This window comes from Homo sapiens, chromosome 9 (genome assembly GCF_000001405.40).
Source record: "Homo sapiens chromosome 9, GRCh38.p14 Primary Assembly".
Classification (NCBI taxonomy): Eukaryota; Metazoa; Chordata; class Mammalia; order Primates; family Hominidae; genus Homo; species Homo sapiens.
The window spans coordinates 90904196-90929447 of NC_000009.12; the positions used below are offsets into that span (position 1 = coordinate 90904196).

At 47.6% G+C, this 25252-nt stretch overlaps 1 long non-coding RNA gene across 1 annotated transcript in view, besides 3 other annotated features; it reads right to left on the minus strand.

Annotated features, from left to right (window-relative positions):
- Positions 10815-10964: a silencer, noted in NCBI's record as "silent region_20024". NCBI's record gives its function as "represses an Ori minimal core promoter by ATAC-STARR-seq in GM12878 lymphoblastoid cells {active_cell/tissue: GM12878}" and the evidence as "EXISTENCE:reporter gene assay evidence [ECO:0000049][PMID:35858748]".
- Positions 17139-17301: a silencer, noted in NCBI's record as "fragment chr9:93683616-93683778 (GRCh37/hg19 assembly coordinates)". NCBI's record gives its function as "represses an EF-1alpha promoter that drives an FKBP-Casp9 reporter gene in an ReSE screen in HepG2 liver carcinoma cells {active_cell/tissue: HepG2}" and the evidence as "EXISTENCE:reporter gene assay evidence [ECO:0000049][PMID:32094911]".
- Positions 19990-20039: an enhancer, noted in NCBI's record as "active region_28578". NCBI's record gives its function as "activates an Ori minimal core promoter by ATAC-STARR-seq in GM12878 lymphoblastoid cells {active_cell/tissue: GM12878}" and the evidence as "EXISTENCE:reporter gene assay evidence [ECO:0000049][PMID:35858748]".
- LOC105379829 (uncharacterized) overlaps positions 23143-25252 on the minus strand; it is a 38060-nt gene continuing 35950 nt past the window's right edge. The window contains exon 4 of the long non-coding RNA XR_001746828.2: positions 23143-23554. This is a non-coding gene — a long non-coding RNA (uncharacterized LOC105379829). The remainder of the gene's footprint in view (positions 23555-25252) is intronic.

A 25252-nucleotide genomic window follows, 5' to 3' on the forward strand; every position in this document is an offset into this window, starting at 1 on the left:
TTCATCTTAATCAGGTCTCTAATCCTCCTGTTAATGTTACGGCTGACCAGTTACTGGGAATGGGACTATGGGATGGAATTCGAAACCAAGCTATACTAAATGATGAGGTTATTGAACAATTATGAAAATGTTGCCTAGATGCTTGGGATAACATTCAGAATGATGGTAAAATATGTCCATCTTTTACGGCTGTTACACAGGGACAGCAGGAACCCTATCCAGACTTTATTGCCCATCTTCAAGATGCGACAGAGAAAACCATCCCTGATAGCCACGGCCAACGACTTGTTGTAGAACTTAAGGCTTATGAACAAACAAATGCAGACTGCCAAGTGGCTATTCGCCCCATTAAAGGCAAAATTCCACCAGGAGGTGATATACTCTTCTACATTAAAGCCTGTGAAGGCGTGGGGGAACTCTACATACAGCAATGGTCCTGGCACAAGCCATGGCCACTATTAGAATGCCTGGACGATTCTCTGGCAAATGCTTTCAATGCGGCCAATCAGGGCATTGTAGAAAAAATTGTCCTCGGCTTTCAGGCTGCCATTCTTTTCAATGCCAACAACAAAACCCTATACAGCAACAAATCTTGCCCTCCAGTCTGTGCCCACGATGCCGTAAGGGAAATCACTGGGCTGCTCAGTGCCGCGCAAAATTTGACATTGATGGTAACCCTTTAAAGCCATTCAGCAACTAGGGAAATGGAAAGAGGGGCCAGCCCCAGGCCCCTCCAAACAATGGGGAATTCCTCAACTCACAGCCTTTGGCAGCCAGCCAGATGAGCACTTTCCCAGCCCAATCCATTCAACCTGCCCCCCAGTTCCCACTTCAGCCATTTGTACCACAGGATCTAACGACTCAGTCCCAACACAAATCTCAGTACAATGCTTGTCCCCTGCCACCACAGGCTCAGCCACTGTAGATCTCTGCTGCACTCGAGATATTTCTCTCTTACCCGGAGAGCCACCTATTGCTGTTTCCACAGGTGTGTTTGGCCGTTTGCCACCTGGCACTGTCAGCTTGCTTCTTGGTCGCTCAAGCCTAAATTTAAAAGGTGTTCAAGTACATACTGGTGTAATCGACTCTGATTATTCAGGTGAAATTCACATTGTCATTAGCTCTGCAGTATCTTGGTATGCAGCAGCAGGAGACAGCATTGCTCAACTTCTTATACTCCGTTACATTCCACTAGGATCTAGTTCTTGTAAGAGAACCAGAGGTTTCAGAAGCACAGACTTTCAGGGCAAAACAGCCTATAGGGCCAGCAAGATTTCTGATACTCGTCCTGTGTGCTCCATGCATACATATTCAAGGAAGGAAGTTTGAGGGAATGATTGACTCGGGTGCTGATATCACCATTATAGCCTCATATCAATAGCCTAGACACTGGCCCAAAGAATATGCATCCACAGCCTTAGTTGGTGTTGGTCAGGCTTCAGAGGTTTATGAAAATTCCACTATTTTACACTGTACGGGCCCAGAGGGACAGACTGGTACTGTTCACCCCCTCATTACGCCTATTCCAGTTAATCTTTGGGGAAGAGATCTTTTACAACAATGGAGGACACAGATTTCTTTCCCACAAGGTAATTACAGCTAACAAAGTAAAGACATTATGGCAAAAATGGGATTTGTTCAAGGTATGGTTCTGGAAAAATCAGCACAAGGTATTACTGATACTATTATAACTACTCATAAATCTGATTCAACAGGACTTGGTTGTTCTTTTTAGAAGCAGTCACTATCAAGCCTCCAGATCCCATCCCCTTAACTTGGAAAACTCAGAAACCGGTTTGGGTAGATCAGTGGCTGCTCCCTAAAAATAAGCTGGCGGCACTCCATATTTTGGTCCTTGAACAATTAAAATTGGGACACATAAAGCAATCTTTTTCTCCTTGGAATTCACCTGTTTTTGTTATTCAAAAGAAATCTGGTAAGTGGAAAATGCTTACTGATCTTAGGGCAGTAAATGCTGTCCTTCAACGTATGGCAACCCAACTTGCCATCCCCCACTATGATTCCTGAGTATTGGCCATTTATCATCATTGATCTTAAAACTGTTTCTTTAATATTCCTCTGGCCCCCTCAGGACTTTAAAAAATCCACAGGCCCTGTAGGGCTGGACCCTACAGAAGGGTACATAATTTCATGTTTCATTAGAGAGTGCTTTTTAAGGCCACTTGTTATTTTATAGCTTTGCAAAATTAAGTGGTGAAAGGAAGAACACTTTCTCAGAGCCCTGCCCACCAAACCCAGCGAGCCTGCACTGCGATGCCCATCACATCCCAACAGATGTCACATGTCCAGCATTTGCCTGAACCCCTACCTCACAGCCTGTTGCTGCCACCACTCCCTTATGGCGCATCACACAGCTAAGAGATGCTCACAGCCCCCACGCAGCTCAGCTGGCGATGTTTCCCGGAGCTATTTTTCCTTATTAGTTAAGCATTATTTTACCAAAGCCATGAGTCATAAGACTTTAAACATCTGCAAATCTTTGAGGTCTTTGAATAACTCAGTTTTCCACGACTATCATCAAACTGTGGAACAATGAGTGAAAAATGTATTTTGTTCATAAACAACTCATCCTCATTCATAAAAATAAAGAGCCAGTGTCTCATACTGTTTGTTCTCCACAGCTCATATCAAATGACATCATAAATTTCTGTCAACCAAGCCCACTGGAACACAGTGAGGTGAACACACCCCCACTTGTGAACAGCTGCTTTAGTTCTTTCCTTCCCTGAAACAAGAGTAGAGGGAAGACCTCAGCCTCCAAGCGTAGTGAACAGGTTAGCAAATGGAGGCCCATCACTATCAAGAAAATGGTTTTGCTAGAGTCCTTATCAAGTGGATTGTGCCAGAAAGAAAGTGATCATCATAGGAGTAGGCAAGTCAGCCTCGCCAACTGTACAGGACATGACCTTTCCATTTCCTGATGAACCCGGAGGTGTAAGGTCACACCCATAGCAATGGCTCCTCTCGTACCAAAAGCGCCTGGTAAAGCACACTTTCTGGACACCGGATGTGTTCCCAGGGATGCCAGAGAGCTCCCTGTAGCCGGTGGCATCCAGGTGGACAGACTTACACAGCAGCACGCTGTCCCTCGCTACATCGGTCAGAATTTAGGGACACAAGCTGCCCAGTGCACCTCCATCCATCACCTCTCTTCCCCCTCTTCTTGCTTCCTTCATTATTCAACCTCGAAATAAAAAAGAAAACAAGATGCTTGGTCAAGCCAATCTCAACTACCGAGACTTTCTACCTCACACTACCGTGTACATGGCAGGAAATCTCAACAGAACAGGGGCGAGAAAAGACTCCTCGGACAGACTTCAGTGGACCAGGATCTGAGCAGGATTTGCTCGCCTTGGAAATAAGGCAGACCTCCCAAGGTGGAGAGAATTTAAGTAGAAGAGATTCATGAAGAGAAAAATATCGCCCAGTTAAAGCATGGCCGTGAACAAACAGCCATTTTATTTATTTTTCTACAGTCAAAATATTAGACACTTGTTCATTCAATCTTCTCTTTTAAAATTAATGAGATATCCATTCCTTAATGTCATGCTATGAATTTTTTTCTCAGCCTCACCCCAGTTCTTTAATCTTGATCACTAAATAGTAGCTTTCTAGAGGATGCTTTTTTTCATTTGCTACCAGGGCTTCCCCTAATGGGCCGGAGGGTTCATCCTGTTAGGAATCTGTGTGTGTGTGGGAGGGGGTGTACGTGTGCATCTGTTTGTAGTATGTGTGTGTCCGTTCATGATGTGCGCATGTGGTTTGGGGAGGTGTCTGTGTGTGTCCATGTGTGTTTGTATGTTTGCATGCATACATGGTGTGTGTATATGTGTGTATCTCTGTGTGGTGTATCTGTGTTTGTATATGTGTGGCATGTGTGTGTCTATGTGTGTAGTGTGTGCATGTGGTATGTGGGGATGTCTGTGTATACATATGTATGCATGTTTATGTATCTGTGTGTGTATGTATTTGTGTGTGTGGTGTGTTTGTGTGGCATATGTCTATGTATGTGCTTCTGTATGTGGTGTGTATTTGTGTACTTGTGTGTATGCATATCTGCATGTGTATACCTGCATGTATGTGTGTATGTGTAGTGTGTGTGGTGTGTGTATGTGTACCTGTGTGTTTGTGTGTGGTGTATATGTGTCTCTGTTAAGCAGATGTCTTTGTCCTTTCATTTTTCAGATCTTCTTATGCTCTCAACATTACTGCCAACGTGAAAATGACCTTTTATTATTAACCAGCTTGGTCATCATTTTTCCCCATTCGGGTCACGGTGTGTAGAACCGGTTTTCCATCTCACTGGCATCCACGGGAGTTAGCCCTTCCCCGGTGGATCTGGACATGACACCCCCACTCCCATCTCAAACCACCTGCGATTGGCTCTATGATAGACGCCACCATTACCACAGTAAAAATAAAACAATGGAGAGGCCATTACTTAGGTCCCTGAAGCCCAAAACAGGCCAGTACACTTTTACCTAAGTCTTCATGAGAGCCAAGCACCTCCACTCACAGCGAAAGGTCTGCCTCTCCCGCACAGCCTAAATAAGGACCCTGCCTCTGCCCCTCTGGGGCGTGCAGAGGGTGGGAGGGCACTGAGCAGCACCCACATCACACCCATGGGTGCTTTCTCATGGAAGCTGGGCTTGCCAGGACCGCCTGTTCTCCTTCAGACAGCATCTGCCCTGCCGCAGCCCGGAGTGAGAAAGCAGCCGAGCGGGAAGCGGGCTTTGAGCCTCGAGACAGACTCCATCTCTCTTGTTTCTTACATGGTCTCCTGCTGCATGGCCTGAAGGAGGGGCGCCAGCCCAATGGCTCCCAGCACTCAGTAGTGTCAGCAGCTGCCAGGGCCCAGTATGGCTCAAAATCATGCCCTGCCAGGCTCCCAGTACAGCTGGTGGGGCAGGGACCCTTCCCAGGTTTCGGCTGATGTTTCAGGCCACTGGCAGTTCTTGGAGATGCCTTCTTAAAGCCAGAACAGGCTTCTCTAGGAGAAAAACCACAGTTAGACTATTCATCCACTTCATTTGACAGTGACATTAGAGTCTGGCTGTCACTGTCTCCCTGCCTCCCCATTCTCAGCCTTTGGAGAGTGAGTACACAGGTGAGTACCCAAGGATCAAAGTACACTCGATGCCCTCCAGCAGCTCATCGCTAACATGCAAATGACTTTACAATCAAAACATGTGAATGCCCAGAGCGTTGCTCACATGTGCAAATGCATTAGCTTGCTGTGATAGAATAGATGCATACTATGTTACTTTTGAACACTTTAACGGAAGTTGCATTTGCATAATATTTTATAGCTCACAAAGCCTTTTCAGGTAAATTTTCTATTTTAAGTCTAAAAACAACCAGCTTTAGAGATAGTTGCTATTATTAACTCCTCATTTTACAAATGAAAAAGCCAGTAAGTAGGCTGACTGCTGACTAAGTAGACAGCACCAAAAAGAAGCAGCAGACTCCCATTTCTTCCTAGAACATCGCTGGTTCTCAGGCCCAAGTGCCCATTAAAAGCAGCAATAGCCTTAACAGTGCTGGTGCCCAGGCTCCATTCCCTGAGAGCCTGGTGTAATGGGTCTGGACTGGGGCCAGAGACCAGGCACTGAAAATCTTTAAAAGTGTACTGGGGGCTGGGTGCAGTGGCTCATGCCTGTAATCCCAGCACTTTGGGAGTCCCAGCACTTTGGGACTTCAGTCCCAGTTCTTCAGATTGTGTCTGCTGTACCTCCATAGAGCTGGGTGTGGTGATCAGGCCAAGCTTCAAGGTCTTGTTTTGCATGCCGGTCCCATGTCTCCAGCATCCCCTGAATCCAGTGACACCTAGTCCTCCCTGTCAGCTTCTCCGCCAGTAGTAGTCTGATAGGGCTGCCAAGACAAAGCAGTGCAAACAGCAGACATTCATGGTCTCAGCTCTGGAGGCTGGAAGTCTGAGATCAAAGTGTTGGCAGGATTGATTCCTTCCGAGGCCTCTCTTCTTGACTTGCAAAGGCCTTTCTCCTGTGTCCTCCTGCAGTCCTACTCCTGTATGACCTTATCTTAGCAAATTACATCAGCAAAGTTCACATTCTGAGGTTCTGGGAGTTGGGACTGTAACATATGTTTTTGGCAGGGAGTTGGGGGCAGACATAATTCATCTCATATCACTGTGCGGATGGACCCTGTCCTTCTGTGCACTGCTTCATCTCAAGTGCCTGTGAATGGCATACCCCCAGTGGACCCAGATTAAGGCCTCACTCCTAGCTCAGAGAGGATTCTAGGTGACTGAGTGTGGTTGGTTCCCTCAGAGCTGGACCCTGGGGCTGTGCAGCAAGTTGGTGAAGATGCCTTCTGAAGACCTAGGGGGAGCAGGAATGAGGCTGGGGCCTTCCAGGGGACTGGCTTCATTGGTCTTGGCCTTGGGTGGCCCCTGCACATCAGGAGGAGGGGATGCACAGGCCCGCCCACCCTGAGTCATTCTGGGTAAAGTGGTGTTGAATCGTGTGCCCTGGAAAGATGTTGAAGTCCTAACCCCAGTATCTGTGGATGTGGCCTTATTTGGAAATAGGGTCTTTGCAGACCTATAACTTATCTTAGATCAAGTTAAAACAAGGCCATAAGGTGGTCTCTAATTTAGTAGGACTCTGTGTCCTTAGAAGATGGGGAAACCTGCATAGGCATACACACTGGGAGACATGAAGACACGATCTGCAGGCCAAGAAGAGAGGCCTCAGAAGAAACTCCCAACTTCCAAACTGTGAGACAATCAACTTCTGTAGCTTAAGCCGCCCAGTCCCCACCACCAGAAAGTGAATCCAGGTATTGACAGGAAGCCCCAGGTCGGCTGCCCCACCATGCTAGCCATGCCCCCACCTCCCCGGGCCCCTGAGGTAAGTGCACAGGGAGACTCCGGAAAGGGGGCGAAGGACTCCAGGGCTCACAGTTCACACCTCCCTGTACCTGACAATTATTGGAATCTTATTGAAAAGCAGATTCTGCCTCAGTGGGTCATAATGAGTCAGCCAGGTTGGAGGGGGTCCCTCGAGAAACTCCTACCAGCCTGTCCACTGAGGTGGAGCCTCAGGAAGTTCATGATGTTTGCAGCTGGGAGGAGCCTGGCCCTTCCTCTTCGTGTGCAGAACCTGAGATTTGAATGGCAGCAGGAAGCCCTCTAGCAGGGACTCTGGCCTCGCAAGAGTCCTCATTTCCCCCTTTTCTTCTTTTTTATCCAGTAAAACCCTGCTTTACTCACCCTCTCCAACTGCCTGCAAGCCTAAATTTTCATGGCCGTGGGACAGACAAGGACCCAGTCTTTAGCTGAACTAAGGAAAGGTCCTGCAACAGTGGAGGCTGGGGGGCTGCATTTCTCTCAGCTCTTGGGTGATGTAGATGGGGCCCTACCTGACTACAGGCACTGGGCACTCACCTGTGAAAGTCCATGAGGCTGGCTCCTGGTTCTGGGCTGTGGCCTGGCAGCTGTCTAAAGCCCCTGGGCAAGTCAAATGAGCAGCTGGTTTGAGACCCAGGGCCTTCAGGAGGGAGACACTTCCAGGGGTTCAGGTGGTAAGCACTCCAGTTCTGTGGGGCCTGCACCTCCTCCAGTCTGGGGCCATTTGTAAGAATAGACAAATGTGAATATACCACCACTCAGGAAGCTGCAGGAGAGAGGTTGCGGCTCAACGGCCTGTGGCCAAAATGCCTCACTTATTCTCAAATATATAGAGCCCCACCTCCAGCAGAAGCACCCCTGTCAACCCTGGCCTCTGGCAGGAGGTCCAGCCTATGACGTGATGCTGCAAGTTGGTTTAACATCTCACCAGAAGAAGTCTGACCAGAGCCTGAAGCTGAGGGGAGCCCAGCGTGGCACCACGTCTCCCGCTCCAGCGCCGTCCCTCTGGCCACCAGCCCAGGTCACAAGCACCAAATATATATTCATGTGATCATACATCCTAGGAAGAGGCAGAAGAGGGCCCCCAGCCTGAGTGCTTTTAGCTGTACAATAACCCTCCCATAGCCATGAGGCAGGGCCACTGGGAGGAGCACTCAGGACTGAGCCGAAAACGTTCCTGGGTTCTCCCAGAGCCTGAGGGGGGGTCTGCTCATTAGGGCCCTGAATTCTTCTGGTGAGATGTTAAACCACCTTGTAGCATTACGTCATAGGCTGGACCTCCTGCCAGAGGCCGGGGTTGATGGGGGTGCTTCTGCTGGAGATGGGGCTGTGCAGGTGTGTACAGCTGTGCACATCTTGGGCCACCTGGGGCAACTCTGCTGGATCACATTAGCTCCAGAGCCCCTGTGAGGGTATCCAAAGCTTCTGTTCACTTCTGCTGTGGCAGGCATGGACGCCAGGGGCTGTCCTGGATGAACCCCTGATCTCCACTGCCTCCCAGAGCCAGCTTCCCAGGACCAGCTGCCACAAGCTGCTTCCAGCTCTGTGGGGGGAGCTGGACGCTCACCCATTTTGTGCTGTGTGCTGTGCGTTGCAGTTGGGCGTTGACTGTTGCTGGGTTAGAGGGCACATATCCTCACTGAAAATGATAGCAGCTGCCTAACTGTCCCCAGGACACCGCCATCAGTCCACAAGAGCACCCAGCCCCATGCCCTCCTGCTCTCTCCACCACTTGGGGTCCGCTGAGGCCCAAGAGAGGAGAAGAAACAACTGTCTGCCACTACAGACACCCAAGCCTGCAGGGTCAGAGTCACACACAGGTAGGAGGGGAGGGCAGTGCAGCCCCTGGCTCTGTGTACAGCGGTGTGGAAGTGGGGGGTGTTGGGAGAGGACCCAGCCAGAACTCACTGTCCCGACACCTCAGTCCTGGTAGTAGCAGCTCAGCAGAGCCACCTTAGCAATGGAGCTCAGGAGGGCATGATCTCAGAGCCAGGGGCCTGGGCCACCCGCCCTGCCACTCTCTCCTGGGTGACCCCAGCTGCCTGGTCCCTGCCTGCAGGGCGTGGGGAGCATCACCCACGTGTGTAGCCAAGACTTGCTCATCTCTGGCCTGTCGAGATGACCAGGTCACTGCAAGGCAGGTGGGAGAATTCCAGGTGCAAACATTGTACTCGAAGTGTCCTATCCCTCTGCCATTGTTTACCTCTGCCTAGTGGTGTTGGGGCTGAGAAACACTGGCCTGTGAGGATGTCTGAATTCAGAGACTCTGATTCAGCCAATCTCAGCCATGGCTAATTAGCATCAATAAATGTGTCTTATTGTGGGTCTTTCCTGACGACTTTCAAACCAGCCAGTCTGGCAGGACACCATGCCACTTCCCTCCAGAGCAGACCAAGCCCCTGTTTTCTCCCCCAGCCCCAACTTCAAGCCTGCATGGGCCCCAGGGTGCCCATCGTCAGCCAGAGAATCAGGATCTTCCGAGTCACCTGACTTTCATCTCTTAGCAGCTGTATAACATCCTAGATGTCCCCTCATAACCACTCTCCTCGGTGGCTGGGACAGGTGCCCAGAAGTCACCTGGATGGGGGTGGGGGATCTCTCTTAGAAGCCAGATTCCTCCCCCTCCATGCTCGGGAACTGCCCCACCCCATGCAGACTCCATGGGCTTTTCAGGGACAGGACCCATGAAGCTGCCCACATGGAGGCATGGAGCTGTGCTGGGACCCGGGGAGGCCAGGAGGGCAATGCTGGGCTCTGAGACTGCCCTGCTGTCTGCTGAAAAACCTGGTGGTCCCTGTGAAAACAACACCCGACGCCCAACGTGAGACCGTTCCTGGGGAATGGGCAGGTGAAAGGCACAGGTGGGTGTTTCCCAAAGTCCCTGCTCAAAAAACAGTGACAGAATGAGGGTCATATCTGCCCAGGGCCATGTCCCAACCAGCTTCCGCTCCCTGGGGGTCAGACCTGTCTGTGTAGGTTTGTCCAGACAGACTGGTAGAAAGATCAGGCCAGGTCCAGCTGGCATGTTCTGGCTCTGTCCTCTAACCCTGCAAGGCCAGGGTACCCCAAGGTGGGCAGCTATAATCCCAGAGCTGCCCCCACCACACAAGCCCCATGGACGGAGCTGCATCGCTAAGTCCCACTCCACCCATGTTGCCTGGTGCCGTGGGGAGGAGCAAAGGAGATGCTGTCCCTGAAGTCTGACCAGAGCCTGAAGCTGAGGGAAGCCCGGCGTGGCACCACGTCTCCCGCTCCAGTGCCGTCCCTCTGGCCACCAGCCCAGGTCACAGGCATCCAGCAACAACTGCAGCATGGACTCTGGGTCTGTTGGATGTGGGCATGGCTGCTGGCTCACTGCTAAGTCAGGGAAGCACCACGTGGCCCACGCTGTGGGCCCCTCCAAAGCCACTGTGTTCCAGCCCAGTGCCCAGCCCCAAGTACCGTGTTATAATGAGCGGCGACTGACGTGACCCAAGGCAGCCTCCCATCCAGAGCTCCTGGGCCCAGGATGTGAATCTCAATCCCTGATGAGTGCTTATTCCTGAAGCCCCAAGGTAAGACAAGGGACCCTGAGCTCTGGGGTTTCACCGTGTAGACCCCCCAGGGCTGGGGTTTACATAAAGAATGGCCATCCTCAGGGTAGTTCCTCAAGTAAGCAGTAGTGGCAAATACTGCCCACTGCTGCTGCACTCTCTCTCACTTCGGGGGGTTAATTTCCTTGGTTTGGGAATTAAATTGGCTTGCCAATTTTAAAAGGCAAACATTACCAGAAGGACAGAGGGAAGGAAAAAGAAGGGAAAGGACAAGAAGTGGGGGTTGGCCATGGAGCCATGTCCCTGACATGGGGTGGGAAGGCCTGGCCAGAGTGCTGCTCTCCAGGGCAGGAAGGAGGCAGCTTGCAGGGTGCCTCTCCGCACGGGGACGGCCCACTTGGGGCAGACAACTGAGAGTTGGACTGCACAGCAGCTCAGGGCTACTTCTCAAGTGCCCACTAGATGGCAGCCAACACCTGGGCATGAGCTGGTCCCAGCCATCCACCTGGCAGGAAAGGGACAGGCTACCTACCTCCTAGGTTATGCCTATTTTTATGAAAGTGGAAGAGACACCAACTGCATGCACAATTGGAATCGCGTTTCAACAGGTACAGAAATAATGTATTAAGTGATTTATATTCAAAATAAGTGACTGGCAAATGACTGCTCTATTCAGAGAACCCATATCTAATCTTTGAGATCACAGTGTTGTCCAGCAGAGGGGATTGGAATGAGTTTCTCTAACTCCACTTGCTAAAGGTCAGCTTGGTGTGGACTTGTTCTGTTAGTTTGACATTGAAATGCAGTCATTTTGGAGTCTTTGGTCTCCGAAGGTGGGATGTAGCGTGCTTTAGCTAGAAGGGAGCCTTCGCCCAGGCCTGCTAGCCTCCAGCCTGGAGTCCTTGGGCTGTTGGGAACTGAAGGACTCGTCACACTTTTCCCGGAGGCATTCCGGATGACAGGAGTGCTCAGGTTCCCCACCTGGAGCTTGCTAGTCCAGGCTTTGATTAAGGGAGATGTGAAAACAAAGTAATGAATTTATGTACTGCTGAATCAATATGGTGTGGAGGGACCCTACCTTACAGAATGTAGGGTCCAAAGAGGTGACAAAAGAATCTCAGATCTAATCCAGCCTCTGCTTTCCAGGTGAGGACAGTTAATTTTCAAAAATCTGCAATGGACTGAGAGCAGGGATCCCGTCACCACCTGCTCTGAGCTCCACTGTAGTCCCGGCCTAGCCTTCTAGCACCTTCCCAGGGGGGGCGCCATCGGCAGTCTTGAGTAGATCCCACTTCAGGGCTGGCTCACAGCTTTTCTTGATTTCCAGACGTGAAGCAAAGCCAAAGGTGAGCCACTTTCTTGACACATCCAAAAGAAATTTTGAGGAATGTCAAAAGGAGTGACTGGCGGTCCTTCCTGGGTGGTAAGAAGCTATGTATTTCTTTTTTTTCTTTTTCTTTTTTTTTTTTTTTTGAGACTGGGTCTCACTCTGTTGCCCAGGCTAGAGTGCAGTAGTGCGATCTAAGCTCACTGCAACCTCCGCCTCCTGGGTTCAAGCAATTCTCCTGCTCAGTCTCCTGAATAGCTAGGATTACAGGTGCATGCCATCACATCCAACTAATTTTTTATATTTTTGGTAGAGACGGGGTTTCATCACATTGGCCAGGCTGGTCTTGAAATCCTGACCTCGTGATCCGCCCCCGCTCGGCCTCCCAAAGTGCTGGGATTACAGAGAAGCTATGTATTCCTACGCATGTATTCTCACTGCCTTTCAGCTAACTGACAAGGCGGCCTATGGACAGCACCAAACAGAGGTAAGGGACTTACCTGGGCACATTACTGTGAAGCCAAACATGTTGCTCAATATGTCAAATAACCAGCTCCCCATAGTTCTTCTGGGAAGTTCCCATCCATGCCCAGGGAGATGACTCTGGGACATAAACTATACACTCTGAATCAGCCTCCAATCGATGGTGTTGTTTGTCCCATAGCCACGACTCACTGGTCCGGGAATCAGGCAGTGGAAATGGGAGATACACCACTCACCATCACCCCTAGTGAGCCACTGGCAACATTTTTGCTTCCTGTTCCCACAACTTTATGCCCTGCTAGCCTAAATGTCTTAGCTCCAGAGGGAAGAATGCTTCCACCAGGAGATGCAACAATGATTCCATAATTTCTACAACTTCCACAACTTCCAACTGGAAATGAAGACTGTCATCCAGCCATTGTGGGCTCTTCGTGTCTCTGAGTCAACAGGCCAAGAAGAGAATGATATTGCTGGCTGGGGTGATTGATCTTGACTATCAAAGGGAAATTGGATTGCTGCTCCACAATGGAAGTAAGGAAGAGTATGTCTAGAACATAGGAAATTCCTTAGGGCGTCTCTTAGTATTACTATGCCTTGTGATTAAGCTCAATGGAAAATTCAGGAATGAAGGTTTGGGTCACTGCACCAGGTAAAAACTCATAACCACCTGAGGGGCTTGCTGAAGGCAAAGGGAATACAGAATGCGTCGGTGGAATAAAGTGGTTATAGATACTTACTGTGGCCATGTGACCAGTTACAGAAACCAGGACTGTAACTGTTATGAGTACTTTCTCCCTGTTTTGTTAAGAATACATTTGTGTGTATGCAAAGTAAGCAAATATCTTTTTTTCTTTCCTCTCTTATTCCCTTATCCTGTAACACACAATACATTGACTTTATATGAATACTTAAGTATTGTCAATCTTACATTATAGTATTTAAATTATGAGATATCAAGGAGAAGAGTAAACATCACCGAAGGCCCTTGCCTTCTCTTGTGGGGAAGGGATTAGTGAGTTTTGGGTTGTATGCAAGATAGGCAGATAGCATGACATTGGTATTGTCTTTATTTGAAGATTAGCATAGTTTAAGAAGATGCCTTTTGGTGTTAAGTTGACAAGAAGTGGACTTATGATGGTTAATTTTATGTGTCAACTTGCCTGGGCTAAGGAATGCCCAGATAGCTGGTAAAACGTTGTTTCTGTGTGTGTCTGTTAGGGCATTTTGTGAAGAGATGAGCATTTCCATCAGTAGACTAAGAAGATCCACTCTCACCAATGTGGGTAGGCACCATCCAATCTGCTGAGGGCCTGGATAGAGCCAAAGGGCAGAAGAAGGGCAAATCCGCTCTCTCTGCTTGAGCTGATATATCCATCTTCTGCCCTCGGACACTGGTGCTTCTGGTTCTAGAGCCTTTGGATTCTAACTGGGACTCACACCATCAGCTCGTCCGGTTATCAGGCCTTTGGACTAAGACTGAGTTACACCACCAGCCTTCCTGGGTCTCCAACCTGCAGATGGCAGATCATGGGACTTCTCCACCTCCATAAACATATGAGCCAATTCCTATAATGTCTCACATATCTATATATGTCCTATTGGTTCTGATTCTAGAGCAGAAGACACACAACCTTCTAGATCTGTAGGGCTCCTTATGAATCATGAGATCCCCAGAACAGCTGCAAAATTAAACAAATTCAGCGAAACAAAAATTAGCTGTTTTGCAGATAATTACTGCTTTTACCTTTAACTTTCAGTTTTGTCATGATGTAGACATCACTGGAGACGCTGGAGCTGAAGTTCGGGCCACGGTTGTCAAAGGAGAGTAGGATAGGCTGGGGAGGGAGGCACAGCAAACCTTCATGGTCTCCATATTATACCCAGTGGATTTTCAGATGCTCCAGGAAGGTGGACTATGTCCATGGATTCCAGAGCACCTCAATTTGAGGATCTTTTAAAAATGCTTTTTTACTGTCTGTGTGAAACTGAGCAAGTTGCTCAACCTCTCTGAGCTTTGGTTTCCTCTTCTGCACAAGATATTGATGATGATAATAATAATACTGACCTTCTATAATATTTGCACATCACTTTGCCTCTATAAGTAATAACTCTTAGCAGCCACCATTTTTCCATGGCCTTTTGCAATGCGCAGGGTGTGAAATCTTCCTAGACAGAAGCCCGATATGGATTCTTCAGGACATGGGTTCTGTATAACCAAAGCACCCAGATATGTGAGGGTAGGACTTAGTGGCCAGATGACCTGAGCCTCCTACTGTGCCTTCCGTACCACCTGAGCCACAGTTACCGCATGTGCGTAGTTCACTGTGGGGGTATGAAACCAGCCATGTCACAGCCATCTGTGGCATGCACCTGTAATCCCAGCTATTCAGGAGGCTGAGGCAGGAGAATCGCTTGAACCCAAGAGGCAGAGGTTGCAGTCAGCCAAGATTGTGCCATTGCACTCCAGCCTGGGTGACAAAGCAACAGAGCGAGACTCCATCTCAAAAACAAACAAACAAACAAAAAGTCAGTGTTGATGACAGTTGATGACTGTCCTCCCTGCATAGGGTGCCCCTTCACTTGTAGCTATTTACCCTTCAGGAGTTGTGCTAGAAAGGCATGAGCTCTTTCTACCACGGAGGGCAGGCACTGCCCTGGGCCTGGAGTGTGGACTCCCACCTGGAACAGCCTCTGAGTGCCCAGCCCATGGTGACCCTGATTCTGGCAATGCCCTACAGTTACATGGCCCAGCCCAGGGGTCCCTGTGGATGGAGAGCCGTTTGCCACCCCCAGGTCCATCCTGGGAAGCCGGGGCTGTGTGAGTGTCCCTAGTACTTCAGCCTTGTTCTTATGTGATCTGCACGGAACCCGCTCCAGGCTTGCCATCACCCCCAGATGGCTGAGGACCACCTGTTCTCCTCAGCCAGGGCCAGGGCTGAGGTGAGAGAAGGGGACACTGGGGCGTAGCTTAAGGACACTCACTTGCCTCACCTGGCCTGGGCCTGCCATAGGGATCAACCCAGCCATGTGCTTTCTGCCCAGGAAGCCACACTGAGGAAAGAGACTGGAGGCAACCCAGCCTGGGTGCTCGTCCTTTGTTGCCCATACAATGGGCTTTCAGCTTCAGCCCTCTGTCGACCTCGCAGGGTGGGCTTAATGTGCTGTGCAGTAGGGTGAGACCCTCCGAGGCCGGAGTCTCTCCCCTGCCCCAAGACCATTTCAGCCTCTGCCGTGTTCTTGCATGGGTATTGTCAGTGGAAGAGAGAAAGCATTCCATGGTTGGTGACTTCTGGAAACCTCTGTGGACTTGCATTCCCTCCGTTGGAATGAAGCATCTTCAGGATGCACAGAATTTCGGCAGCACGGAAACCTGCTTGTGCTCATTTCTCCCGGCATGTCCTCCACGTCTTTGACTCCTCACAAGGCGGCTGTACAGGCACTTTCCCATGCCAGGCCTCACTGTTGGCCTGGCATGGGCTCCCACTCAGCCCGTGCTGTTCCAGCGAGTCCTTCCTGGGGCCTGAAACCTTAGCCCATGGCTCCTTCCCCACATAGTTTTCCCTCTTTCTATGGCTGACGACCTCTCCCTCGGGCCCCAGAACATGACGTCCCCACTACTTTGAGGCTGCCAAGCTCTCGGGAAACGGGTCGCTCTGTTCCTCTCTTGGGCCTCCCACAGCCCTGGAACAGTCTGGGTGCCCTGGGAGGGACCCAGCCAGCCTCTCCTTGCTGGCTGGACTGTGTCCAAGCATTGTGCTCCATGCATCCCCTCCTGGACAGCCTTGGCTGCCGTGCTCATCAGCGCTTCTACCAGGGCAGTAAAGGAGAAGGACAGCAGGCAGAGCTGCACTCTCTGCATTGGCCCCCAACTCCTAATGCCGGCATGAGTTGGCTTGGCCAAAATGAATTGTTTGGATGATTTTTCTGTATTTGAAGAGCCAAGGAAAAAGTTTCCATTTTGTGTCTGTGTGTGTGTCCGTATATACGTCTGCATGTATGTCTGCGTGTATGTCTGTATGTGTGTCTGTGTGTCTAAGTGTCCCTTTATGGGTCTGTGTGTGTATGTACATGTGTATGTCCATGTCTATGTGTATCTGCGTGTATCTGTGTGTCTGTATGTACATGTGTGTCTGTATGAGTCTGTGTGTCTGCATGTATCTGTGTCTGTGTGTCTATATATACATGTGTGTCTTATGAGTCTGTGTCTGCATGTATCTGTATCTGTGTGTCTGTGTGTCTTACATACATGTGTGTCTGTATGAGTCTGTGTATCTGTATGTATCTATGTGTCTGTATGCCCATGTGTATCTTATGAGTCTGTGTGTCTGCATGTGTCTGTGTGTCTGTGTGTCTGTATGTACATGTATGGCTGTATGAGTCTGTGTATCTATGTACCTGTGTGTCTGTGTGTCTGTATGTACATGTGTATCTGTATGAGTCTTTGTATCTGTATGTATCTGTGTGTCTGTTTATATGTACATGTGTGTCTGTATGAGTCTGTGTATCTGTGTGTATCTGGGTATCTGTGTGTCTGTGTGTACTTGTGTGTCTTATGAGTCTGTGTGTCTGCATGTATCTGTGTGTCTGTATGTACATGTGTGTCTTATGAGTCTGTGTGTCTGCATGTATCTGTATGTCTGTGTGTGTCTGCATGTGTTGTGTCTCAGCGCACAAACCCGCAGCACACAGAGCTGGCCCTGCCCATCCACTGACACAGGAAACCTGAGCCTCGAAAGCAGCCCATGGCGCACCTCAGTGCTGGTGCACTCACCCTCTTCAGCCTCCTGGTTCTTCCACGGAGCCCAGCTCTGGAGCAGCAGAGCTCAGGGACACTGTGTTCCTCCTGTCCTCACATGCTGCAGCCCACCACCTTGCCAAGCTGTGTCTGGGCACGTTTCTGGAACCTGGCTTGGCTCCAGCACTGGCCCTGCCAGCTCTGTGCAGACAAGCTCCCAGGAGACGCCCTGGGATTTCACAATGAGCCTCGTGTGCCCAGTCTACCCCTGCCCCCCAGCTGCTGTCCGCTGCACCTTCCTTTGGTTTCCAGACCAGGTCAAGACATGGGATGAGCCTGCTCAGAAGGGATGAGCCTGCTCAGAAGCCCTGGGCCACACACAAGCCCTGGCCAGCCACAGTCGGTGCCCTATGCTCAAAGAGCCACAGCGCTCTTGACCCAGCTCCACATTGCTGGCCGCAGGCACTTCATTTCTTGTAAATTAACCCTTCTTTCTCTCTGGAAACTTCAAAAACTTCTCTTTACCTTTGAAGTTCCAAAATAAATCTTTTTAAAATGCATTCTGCCATGCGTTGGTGGGCCCTTTTAAATAGGACTGGCTATCTGGTCTGCAGAACCTGGTGCTAAACTAAAATGTGGAAGTCCTGTTCAAAAAGCAAGAAAAAGGCATAACAATACTAAAATATACAGCTTTTTCCTCTCTTCCAGAGTCTCTTTCTTGATGTGCTGCATTTTTCATGTTATTTAATGTCATTCCAAGTTAAAATTTTAAAGTATTAGCATGAATTTTATCATTTGTGCAATGCTAGTTTTAAATGCAAATACAAAAGTGTTTAACTCACATGAGGAATCACTGAAATTATGGTTTGTGTTATGTGGCTCGAGCATGCATGTGTATTTCATTTCTACCATAACAGCGACAATGCTGCTGAAAAGTAGCTCAACTGTTTGTATTTTACTTCTTGCTACATGCACGTGCGCCAGCACCCTCTTATCTTCAGCTGACTAATGAGGGAGAAAGCACTGAAGGACAGGAACTCTGGGTTGCCCTGTCCTCATCTTTCCTCGTATGTCATCATTTTCAAAGTTCGTGGTTGTCGAATACTGGAAGTAGCCCAGGTAAGAAGGGATGGGATAGGATGCCTTCATTGTTCTGTTTCTTAGAAGGCCTTTGCCTTCTTTAGGCATTTGAAACAAGTTCTGGTTCCAACAGATCGTGTGTGGCTTTGTACGGCTTCCATATGCCCCTCCTTCTGTGGTAGAGCACGATTACCTTCTACTCGCCTTCAGTGTCGCTGAACTGCACCGGAATCCACTGGAATTCTGTATGCATGGGCCTTGGGAGCGTGAATGGAGCAGCAAGGAACGGGGACACATATATCACCTGTGTCTCTGCACATGCACACGGTTTGTGGCTCCGTCGGACTTCACTTACAAAACCCAAGTTCAAAGATCAAATTATGAAGCATTTCAAGATGGCAACAGATGAGAATCAGACAAGCATAGAGTCCTTCTGAGCTTAGAGCCTTACGTGACCACAAGGGCCACATATCCAGGAAGCTGGCCCTGCTTTTGAACTGGAAAAGTTCTGATCAATTTTCTTCTATCAGTTATTTAATTATTTTCCTCCCTCAAGTCTCTCTGTTCTCTCCTCCTGGAACTCCTAGTAAATACATAAAGAAACGTCTAGCTCCCGCTCGTGTCAATTGTCTCTTACTTGGATTTCTTTGTCCCCATGAATGACATTCTACAAGAACCCCTTGGTCTTTCAGTTCACTAATTTATTCTTCAATCACGTCTGTTTTGCTAGGTTTCATTAACAATCATCTTTTAAATTTCAAAGTTTTATAGTTCTTTTTTGTAACAGCCTCTTCTTGTTTCAAGGATAGTTTACATTCTCTAATCTTCTCAAACATGTTAAATATGATCACCTTTAAAACTTTAAACTGCTGTGTTTAGCTGTTTCCTTGAGCAGGGAGAGTTCCGTTTGTTGAAGTTGAATGCCACTGTTTCGTAGCATTCATTTTGCTGACATGTTTGACAGCTCTCATCTATCTGATTATCTTCCTCTTTGAGAATCCCTGACCAGTCATGTTTCTCCCTGCTCAAGTGAAATAAAGGCCTCAAATAGATCAGTGGTTTTCAACTCTTTTTAGCATAGATAAATGTTGTAAAATAAAATTTTATTTGTGGAAATACAGTGTGTAAATCCACAGTGGAAAGGCAATAATTGAGGCAGAGATGCCCTGCAACCCTAGAGGTGCCCGCTTGGACCCTTGGTGTTCCCTCTGCAGCCTCACCACACAGTGGGCCTTCTCTGTGATTGCTGGGCTGAGCGATCCTGGATCCTCACAGCCCATGTCTCAACAGTTAATGAACCAGGTGATCTGCACATGTATTTCAAGCTCCTGTATTATCCCTGATGAGGATATCTAGATTTGAACTTCTTTGAAATTCCTTCCTAAATATTTATTTTGTCATGTTTCTACATATGGAAGGGTCCTCATGGCAGATAGACTCACAGGGACTTACACACTACCACACTCTTTAATGGGAACAGACCTCCTATTACTGACTTCTTGACAAAGTCTTGAAAAAGAATGAAAATGAGGATGCAAGTCACCAGGGAAGGCAGAGGAATATTTCTTTTATTTAAGCGGACTTGCTGATTTCAAAAGAACCATTTCCAGAAAAGACTGGGCTAAGCTCCAATCTTGGCCTCCGTATATAATGCAAAAGTAGATGCTATAAACTAGTAAATTCATGGCATTCGATCATAAAAAAGAAGAAGAGATGCATTTTCTGTTAGACCCTGAGGCTGTACTTTCCCAACCGCTGTGTAGAGCAAACACCAGGTGGGGAGATGGCTTTGTGGACATGCAATCCAGTTTCTAATCCAGAAATAGGTCAGAGCACCAATGTGAAAATACCTGTTGTTTTTAAATAGGTCTGTGTGTCTCAGTGTGTGTGTGTGTGTGTGTGTGTGTGTGTGTGTGTTTTCCTTAAGGGCACTTGAGATGCCGCAAAGAAATGAGGAAGTGGAAGTTTTGAATTGGTTTTTCTTCTTTTGTCTAGGGATGATTTTTTTTTAAGAGTTTCTAAGAGGTAATTGAGTTTCTTCCTCAGGAACAGTCAGTTTTTCATGAATCAAATGTATCAGTAATAATTTTTTAAATGCTGGATTATAACTTTTGAAAGTTTGCAAGTTGGGAGCATATTTCCTTGGCTCTGCGACATTCCCTCCTCTTCCTGGGGTTCTCTCCTCCTAGGACCCTGGGACCAAGCACTGCCCTTCAGGTCTTTGATCTCTCTGATCTCATAAACTTTGCTCTCCTTGTCCTTTTGAATACCTTCTAGAAGAATCCCTGGATCCTCCTCGTCAAAAGTCCACATGCTCTTGGGGGTTACCATTGTTCCGGATAATCTGGAGTTTTCATGTTGAAAACAACCACCACCACACCAACACGTTTTTCTGTTGTCCTCTTGGCAACTTCAGAGCCCTGACACCGTAGGGAAAGCGCTTAGGGATCCCATCACAGTTCAAGGGCCAGGGCCGGTGGCCTCTGCCAAGTGCCAGGCCCTCTTATCCCTGAGTGAAGCACTCACATTCCCTAAGAAGGGGCATAGGGACCAGAGCACAGGGCAGTGAGGGAAGTGCTGTGGGGCAAGGGTGGTGGTGTCTGAAGACGGCTCTGCCTTTACAAGGCCCACTGGAGCTTTATGTCTGCATGCCCCACAGCAGAACTGTCCTTGCTCTTTTTCATGTTTAAATTTATGGTGAGGTAGGAAGATTGCTTGAGCCCAGGAGGTCAAGGCTGCAGTGAGATATGATCATGCCACTATACTCCAGCCTGGGAGACAGAACAAGAGCCCATTTCAAAAAGAATTTAAGGGCCTGGCGCAGTGGCTCATGCCAATAATCCTAGCACTTTGGGAGGCCGTGGTGGGTGGATCATTGAGGTCAGGAGTTTGAGACCAGCCTGGCCAACATGGTGAAACTCCATTTCTACTAAAAAAAATAAAATACAAAAATTAGCCAGGGGTAGTGGCGTGTGCCTGTAATCCCAGCTACTCAGGAGGCTGAGGCAGGAGAATCGCTTGAGCAGAGGTTGCAGTGAGCCGCGATAATGCCACTGCACTCCAGCCTGGGTGACAGAGCAAGACTCCGTCAAAAAAAAAAAAATTAAGGTATATAGATGCACATTTAAGTTATATAAACACACGTACACACACATAAATGCAGCACCTTTCCTAAGTGTACAGTTTGTTGAATTTTCACAAACTGAGCATGTCCATGTATCCAGCCTCTGAAGAAGAACAGTGGATCACCCGCACTGCATATAGAAGCACACCACATGCCCCTTCCCAGTCACAACTGGGCCCAGCATTATCTTGAGTTCTGACAGCATAGCCTAGTTCTACTGGATTTTATACCTTGTATAAATGGAATAGTACAATTTGTACTATTCTGTCCTGCTTCTTTGGCTCAATTTACTTTGCAAGATTCTCATACACATTATCTCAGATCATTGTAGATCATCAACTTCTTATCACCATCTGGTAGTCATTCCTTGGTGGGAACAGACCATGACTCAGTTATACATTCCACTGCTGAGGGCCAGTCACATGGTTTCCTGTACTTATTCCTACTAGCTGGTGTGAAGCACGATGCTTCCGAGAGTATTTTCAGGCCAAAGAAGCTGGTATTGTCCAAATAATTTAAGGAACAAATGAGGAAGAGGAGATGGAGAAAAGGAGATGTTGGTCAGAGAGTACAAAGTTTCAGTTAGACAGGAGGAATCATTTTTGTGATCTATTGGACAGCATGGTGATTCTGGTTATAATAATGTATTATATATTTCAAAATTGCTTTTAAAGAGTAAATATTGAATGCTCTCACCAAGGAAAAATGACAAGTATGTGAGATGATGGATATCCTAATGTGCTTGATTTAATCATTCTACAATGCACACATGTACTAAACCATCAGGGTGGGTGTGCTGGCTCATGCTTATAATCCCAGCACTTTGGGAGACCAAGGCAGATGGATAGCTTGAGCCCAGGAGTTCAAGAGCAGCCTGGGCAACATGGTGAAACCCCGTTTCTGTGAAAAATATGAAAATTAGCCACACATGATGGCATGCACCTATAGTCCCAGCTCCTCAGGAGGCTGAGGTGGGAGGATGACCTGAGCCTGGGAAGTAGTGGCTGCAGTGAGCCATGATCGTGCCACTGCACTCCAGCCTAGGCAACAGAGTGAGACCCCTTCTCAAAAAAAAAAAAAAAAGTACATTGTACACCATAAGTATATACAGTTATTATGTGTCAATAATAAAAAAGTATAAAAGTAAGTCAGAACAAAAACCACACCAAACTTCTTCAACAACAAAAAAGAAAGAAATGAAGCAAACCTAGCCTCAGAAAATGTGCTGTTTGATCAGTTTTACCCAGATAGCACAGGAGCAGAGGAAAAGTTTGTTTCTATATTCCTTGGGTACTGCCCAGCTTCTCTTCCTTTCAGGGCAGGCAGTGTGGATGACGACCTTAAAATACAGAGAGCTAGTGGTGTTTGGGAAGTTACCCACCAAGCCCCAGCCTTGATTTGCTGAAAGATCTCATCAGAAGAGGAAAGAGTGGGTAGGCAGGATTGGGATGGCGGAGGCAGGCAAATGCCTTCATTCATGGGAGCAATTTCAGAAACACCTGGATGCTGGACTCCACAGGCATTTCTCTCATCTAGAAGACTGTGAAAAACACATAGACTAACTTGTCCCACTACCAGGAAGATGCAACTAGGTTCCCCCATCCTCTCCTCCAAAACAGTCCCCTTGGATTCAAGGTGGTAGCAGTCGGCCCTAGGGACTGACGCCAGAAACCTCAGAAAGACATCAAACCATTCAAGGAAGTTCAGGAATGTGCTGCACAGAAACTTCTGACAGGAAATCCAATTTCCCTATCTAGATTGAACCCTAAAAGACAGTAAATCACAGAGGTCTTGGAGGTTGGAGAATTCAAAAGTCTGGATGTTTGTATTCTTTAGTTGGTGCTAATGTAACCCTGACATTACTGCTTCAGTTGAATGAATATTAACTACGTGGTATTAGCTGGTATTTGCAAGCTCCAGGGAATGCTTCCCTCAAGACAGCAGCATTTTGTAAATTAATTCAATAAATACAAAAGCAAATGCATCTGTTTAATGGGGGAGGCGATTAATGTTTCCAGATTCCCCTGGCCTCCAGCTGGAAATCTGGTTGAATTTTGAGACGTGATGCAGTCCATCCCTCAATGGGCAATGACTTGAAGTCTCAGGTTCTGGAGGTATTGACTCACAGGGTTCAGGCACTGCGGTCCTCGCTGCCAGGTCCCGTCTGTGTTCAGGGAGTTGCTGATGCTATCTCCCAGGAATACTCCATTCTCATGCAGGAGGCTGGGTCTCCTCTTGAGGGGTGTTAGGTGGTACCAACTCACCCCTGGGCCAACAGCAACATCGATGACAACTCAAGCTGTGGCTTCCTCTGAGTCAGGAACTTGTTGGGCAGCCTCACCCCTGAGGCTGGGCTTCATCTGGGGTAGCAGGTCCAGGCCTCGCAGGAACAAGACAAAGATGCTCAGTTTCACTACATCATTCAGGAAGTGCTAACCAGTGCGATAAAACAAGATCATAGCATAAGAAACATAGGTTTTGGAAAAGAAAAGGCTTACTGTTATTCATTGTGGGCAATATACTTAAAGCCAAAAGAAAACCCTGAAAAACAATTAGAAACACTAAGAGATAATAATAATAAAAGGCGGCACTTACAAAATTAATATAAAATAAATAGTTTTTTGATATACAAATAACAACTCTTTAGAAAATATAATGGAAGAAAAATGCCACTCAGAATAACACTAAAAAACCAAAGTCCTAGGAATAAATTTAAGAAATATGAACATGTGATGAGAAGGAAATATTAAGTCCCCAGTGTGAACATAAAAGAAGATTATTTCAATATATAAAAATCTCTTTTTCTTGAATAAAAGGCATAATGTTATAAAGTTGTCCATTCTTCCTATGTACTCTATATCCTAAATACTAATAGAATCTATTAATATGTCCCTGTAATGGAGCTGGAGAAAGTCTAAACAAGAAAAGAGATGAGAGGACTCTTACCAAGTATATATGAGTATTTGTTATAAAGCAGGAGTTGGCCAAGCCAGCTCATGAGCTGTTTCTGTATGTCCCATGAGCAAAGAATGTTTTTTGCAATTTTAAAGCTTTTTTTTTTTTTTGAGACGGAGTCTTGCTCTGTCGCCCAGGCTGGAGTGCAGTGGCGCCATCTCGGCTCACTGCAAGCTCTGCCTCCCAGGTTCACGCCATTCTCCTGCCTCAGCCTCCCAAGTTGCTGGGACTACAGGCGACCACCACTATGCCCGGCTAATTTTTTGTATTTTTAGTAGAGACGAGGTTTCACCATGTTAGCCAGGATGGTCTCAATCTCCTGACCTCGTGATCCGCCTGCCTCGGCCTCCCAAAGTGCTGGGATTACAGGCGTGAGCCACCGCGCCCGGCCCTAAAGCATTTTTTTTTAAAAACTTGTGTGTGACCCTATGAGGCCCATAAAGTCTGATAGATTCACCATCTGGTCTTTTCCAGCAAGAGTTTGCCAATGTCTGTTCTAGAGCATCATTAGTTATAACAGTCTGATAATGGAACAGAATTAGACCACACATCAAGGAAATAATACGCAATACAGAAATAAACAGAAACCAATGACAACTAAGTGTATAGACTAAGCTGCCATTTAAAAATCACCAGCCTGGCCAACATGGTGAAACCCTGTCTCTACTAAAAAAACAAAAATTAGCCAGGTGTGGTGGTGCACACCTGTAGTCCCAGCTACTCGGGAGACTGAGGCAGGAGAATTGCTTGAACCCAGGAGACGGAGATTGCAGTGAGCTGAGATCACTCCACTGCACTGCAGCCTGGCCAACAGAGCAAGACTCTGTCTCAAAAAAGAAAACAAAAAACAAATCACTTAGAAAAGATGGCTTATCAGTATCTCATCTTGGCTCACCTAGATAGCCATTTGGAAGAAAAAACAAAACTGGTTCCCTGTTCTACTACTAACTTTGGAGAAATGGAGCCTTTTCTTAGTTCCACACGAAAAACATTAAAAGAAAGCATTAACAACTCTGACTACATAAAAACCAGTACCTTTTGAGAAAGAAAAATGCCTTAAGCAAATGTAAAAGTCAAATAACCAACTGGTATTTGAACTGAAAGATATATAGAAGAAATAGGA